The 5,125-nt window shown below is 42.8% G+C and overlaps 1 annotated feature.

Moving 5' to 3' along the window:
* Positions 419 to 1,618: an enhancer, noted in NCBI's record as "P300/CBP strongly-dependent group 1 enhancer chr7:145750296-145751495 (GRCh37/hg19 assembly coordinates)". NCBI's record gives its function as "activates an origin of replication core promoter dependent on BRD2, BRD4, P300/CBP, MED14 and CDK7 cofactors, with strong dependence on P300/CBP, by STARR-seq in HCT116 cells {active_cell/tissue: HCT116}" and the evidence as "EXISTENCE:reporter gene assay evidence [ECO:0000049][PMID:35650434]".

Raw genomic sequence — 5,125 nt, forward strand, 5'->3', positions numbered from 1 at the left:
ACCAAAAATTTGACCCGTGCAACCCAAGCATTTACATCTCCATATCCAGTCTCAATTTCTAAAGTCTGCCTTTGGTCAGTTATCTAAATTATTTTTACTCTCTTAGGGTCATTGCCTGGCATGTTAAAGGAAGTGGTGGGAACAGGAGTTATAATAAGCCCAGGTGAGCTAGAGATTGTTGGTAATTAGCCTGAGAGCTAACCATCCTGTGGGGCCCCTTCCTGAGACATCTATTCCTAAGCCATACCTCCTTGGTTTCTGGTCTAGAGTAGCTGGGTTGTTTGTGGCTATTAATATAGGACTGCCTTCTAAATTTCCACAGTTACATGGCATGGCACCTTTATATAAATGTATCTTATCCTTTCAAAGTTTATTTTTGGATGAATGACTTACCCAGCCTTGAAATTGAGTGGTCAACCAGACCTCATTCCAGCTAGCACAGGGCTTTTCTGAGAGGGCCCAAGAGTGGCCTGTTTCAGGACACAGATATTTGTCTGCTTATGACAACTGACTTTGGTTTGTTAAATTCCCCCAAGGTAAGATTTGGCAGGCATCAAAGTTTATACTTTGGGAGGTGGAGGTCGTAGTTTTGTTGACTATTAGTTTGATTGGATATTCTACTTCTACTAGACCCCATCCCATATTTGCATACCTCTCACCCTTGGTATTACGATTAATCCTAAACACATACACCCCAATGATGGAGCCCACTTATAGTTCCCTTCTAGTTTTTCTCAGAGTTAACTTTACGGGCTCCTCAGGTGATCCATATACACTTCCCATTAGTCCTTTCCCCTCCATTTCAGGTTCTCTTTTACCAGTCCCTTGACCCATGTGTAATCAGTCCACCCTCATTTAGCTGTTCTCGGTGGTCAGGATCACTTGATAAGGACCTTCCCAGCTTGAGTGCAGCTTGTCTTCCTTCCAGGTCTTAATCAGCACCAAGTCACCAGGATGAAAGTGATGAATCATGAACTCAAGAGGCGGAGTTTGAGTCAGAAGTCCTCTTAACCTAAGGGATGACATAGTGGAGGAGATGGCCAGTATATAATTTCTTAAAAATTGGTCTTTGGGTAGGGCATAGTGGCTCACGCCTGTAATCCCAGCACTTTGGGAGGCTGAGGCGGGCGGATCACCTGAGGTCAAGAGTTCAAGATCAACCTGGCCAATGTGGTGAAACCCCATCTCTACTAAAAATATAAAAAATTAGCGAGAGGTGGTGGTACATGTCTGTAATCCCAGCTACTCAAGAGGCTGAGGCAGGAGAATTGCTTAAACCTGGGAGGCGGAAGTTGCAGTGATCTGTAATCGTGCCACTGTACTCCAGTCTGGGCGACAGAGTGGGACTCCATCTCAAAAAAAAAAAAAAAAATGGTCTTCAGTTTCCATAATAGGTAAGTCTATAGCCCTGCCTAAATAGGGGGACCCATATAATAACTTGTAAGGAGACAATCCCAAGTCTTCCCTTGGGGCTGTGCTAATCCTAAGGGGCACAACTGGGAGACATTTGGTCCACAGCATTTTAGTGTTTAAGATTGGTTTGGTAGTATGCTTTGTGAGAGTTTTATTCATTCTCTTTACCTTTCCAGAGGAGTGGGGATGCCAAGGAGTGTGGTAATCCCATCTAATGTGTAAACCTCCCATAATTTCCCTTAGCACCCTCAAGGTAAAGTGGCTCCCTTTGTCTGAATCAATATTTTCCACCAAGCCAAATCTGGGTATAATTTTTGCTGTAAGGTTATTTTGATGACATTCCCGGCAGTGGCAGTCAGGAGAGGGAAGGCCTCCACCCAGCCAGAGGGATTACTAGTAGATACTTTAGTCTCCCTATTTTGGGCATTTCTGTGAAATCTACTTGAATGCTTTGTAATGGTCTTAACTTGTGAGGCCTTTCTCTGGTAGTCTTTTCTAACTACCTTTTTATTTATTCTTTGGCAGGTCACACAACCTCCACACACTTGTTTAGCAATGGCATAAATTCCTATACACTCATAATTCTTTAGTATTGCCTCACCCATAGCCTGGGGACCCCAATGACTCCCATTGCGCAGTATGAACATAAGGTCTCTTATTATGGGTTTGCTTATCATTTCTCTCCCATCAGGCAGCACTCATCTCCCATCTTCAGTTTGAGTGGACACTATCTTGCCCGGTTTTTCTTTATCTTTGGAAAATTGGGGCCTTAATACTACTTTAGGGATATTTGGGATTAGGCTAAATAACTTCTTCCTCCAGGGAGGCTTGCTTAGCAGCTTCATCAGCAAGCCTGTTTCCTAGAGCTTTTATAGCGTTCCCTTTCTGATGGCCATTTACATGAACTGTGGCTACCCCTGCTGGAGGCAGGAGGCTTTCTAAAACCTGTGTGATTAGTTCTCCTTGTACCAATTCTTTCCCTCTGCTGTTTATTAGGCCCCACTGTGTCTAAATTTTTCCAAAGCTGTGTACCAATCCATAGGCATATTTAGAATCAGTATACATAGTGTCCTCTTGGTACTGTTGCTTTCTCCCAGTTATGGAATTTCCCTGTTCAAAGACAAAGAGGTCCCTACTCTTAGCGTCTAGGGGACATGCCCAGAATACAACTTTCGGATCCACTACGCTGAACCACTTACTTTCATAGGGTATTTTATTAAGGAAGGTGTCAGGGTTAGGCATCACAAGTTGGAGAGTTGGGACAATTTGATTTATAGCCCTTAGATCTTGCACTAATCTATATGATCCATTGAGTTTCTTGACTGGGAGAACTGGACTTGTTGCATGGTAACATGCAGGGTTCTGATATTCCAGCTTTAGTTAATCCCTCTGTTACCAGTTGAAGACTTTTTCTTTCTTCAACAGGTATGGGATATTGTTTTCTGCAAACTATTTCTTCTGGTTGTTTTAGTTCAATCTGTAAGGGTGTGATTTTTAATCCTTCCCTGTTGTCTTCCTTAACCCACACAAGGGGATTACTTTTACTTTCTTCCTTCTCTGTTAGGAGGCCCATCATTATTTTTATTTGTCCCTCCCCTACTCCTAATTCTAAACCCAGTCCAACAATCAGGTTTCAACCCAGGAGGTTAGTTCCTGCTTTGGGAACACATGAGAGTGACTCCTTCCTTTGTTTTGATCCCAACCTAGTTAACATTTTATTGACTATCGGAACCTGAAATCCCTCCCTCTTCATACCTGATATTGTTAACTTTTCCTTAGAGAGTTCTGTGCCCCTGGGTTGGTATATTAGAAAGGAGCATGCTGCTCCACTGTCGACTAAAAATGTCATTTCATTGCCTTTGGTTCCCACCCTCAAGTTTATCAAGGGTTCCTGGTGGGACCTACTCAAAAGGAACCCCTGATCCCTCTAATCCTCATCAAAATTCATTATGGGGATGACCTTCTCTTCCTTTTTCCATTCCAGACATTCTCTTAAGATGTCCTGGTTTCCCACATTTGTAACATCCACTTGTAGTCTTAGGAGTTTTTCCCTGTATTTCCCTCCTGTCTCTTTGCTGAGACCTAGTGTTCTTTTGTCTCCTTTGAGAGGGGTCTTGATCTAATCTCTTTCTAACTACTTCCTTTACAGTGGAAACCATGATTTTTGCCTTTTGTTTCTGTTTCTCTTCTTCTCTTCTTATAAAAACCTTTTGAGCTTCCCTCGGTAATTCCTTTGGCTTCTCATTCCATCCATTAATCTTTTGTAGTTTCTTAGTAATAGCAGGCCAGCTTTTAGTTACAAAATTAACCTTTAAAAGGCCTCACTGGCTAGGCATGGTGGCTCACACCTGTAATCCCAGCACTTTGGGAGGCAGAGGTGGGTAGATCACCTGAGGACAGGAGTTTGAGACCAGCCTGGCCAACATAGTGAAACCTTGTCTCTACTAAAAATACAAAAATTAGCCAAGCGTGGTGGTGGGTGCCTGTAATCCCAGCTACTTGGGAGGCTGAGACAGGAGAATTGCTTGAACCAGGAGGCAGAGGTTGCAGTAAGCCAAGATTGTGCCATTGCACCCCAGCCTTGGCAACAAGAGCAAAACTCTGTCTCAAAGAAAATAAAAATAATAATAAATAAATAAAAAATAAAAATAAAAAGGCCCTTCCTGACTGGGTCCCTCGCTTCTAATCCTGAGTATTTTCTCATTTGATCCCTGAGCTTCTGCAGAAACACAGAGGGAGTCTCTTCTTTTTATTGTTGAATCTCAAATGCTTTCTAGACATTTTGTGTCCTAGGAGTGGACTCTTCAGTCCACCTAATTAGTTTCCTAAGGACTTGCATTTGGGTCTGATTCCTGGGATCATTATTATCCCATTCAGGACCCGTATTTGGGAATTTCTGCCCAGCTGGCAGGTCTCCTTGCCCTGGAGGATGCTGTCTTTCCCAAATAGTCATGGCTTCCCTTCTAATCATTTCCCTCTCTTCCCCAGTAAACAGGATATTCATGATAGACATAATCTCAGCCCAAGTATAAATATTGGGTCCTAAAAATTGATTTAGCTATTCTGCTAAACCAAGGGGATCCTCTAAGAGTGACCTCATTTCTTTTTCAAAATTTCTAATTTGAGGACTTGTTAAAGGCCCACTCACAAATCCAACTTCTCCCTGCCCCACAGGGCCTTCTCTAAGAGGGAACATGTTTAGACATCTGCTGTTTAGAGGAAACAGGGAAATTCTCAATGTCCCTGCTACATTTTTCTAATTCTTTCCTCAAGTTCGGCTAAGGATTTAGGGGACCAGTGGGTTTAGTTCCTTCATGACCTCCAGATTTCTCTCCCTCTGGCCTCCCTGTTTCCCCTGTTTCTTCCTGTTTCTTCCTGTTCCTTATTTTGTGAGCTGTATGGAAGGGGGAAGCATGTTAGCAGATCCCAGGCCTTTTTATTGGGCAAGGCTATGTATTATGTTTCTTTTCTTCTTCTTTGAGGGGAAATATGGGGGCTAATTCCCTGGTCCAACAGAGAGCATAACCTATCTCTTCTTGTGAGAATGGGATTTTATCATTCACATAGAGAATTAAAGCTTGGCCCACCCAATCCTCTTCTGAGTCACACTTAGGCCAAAAAACCGAGGGTTTACAAATGGGTCTTTGGGCCAGATAAAATAGCAAAACTTTGTTATCTTTCGCTTTTCTTTGTCGCTGGTTCAAGTGTTGTC

The sequence above is a fragment of the Homo sapiens genome, chromosome 7 (genome assembly GCF_000001405.40).
Source record: "Homo sapiens chromosome 7, GRCh38.p14 Primary Assembly".
Lineage (NCBI taxonomy): Eukaryota > Metazoa > Chordata > Mammalia > Primates > Hominidae > Homo > Homo sapiens.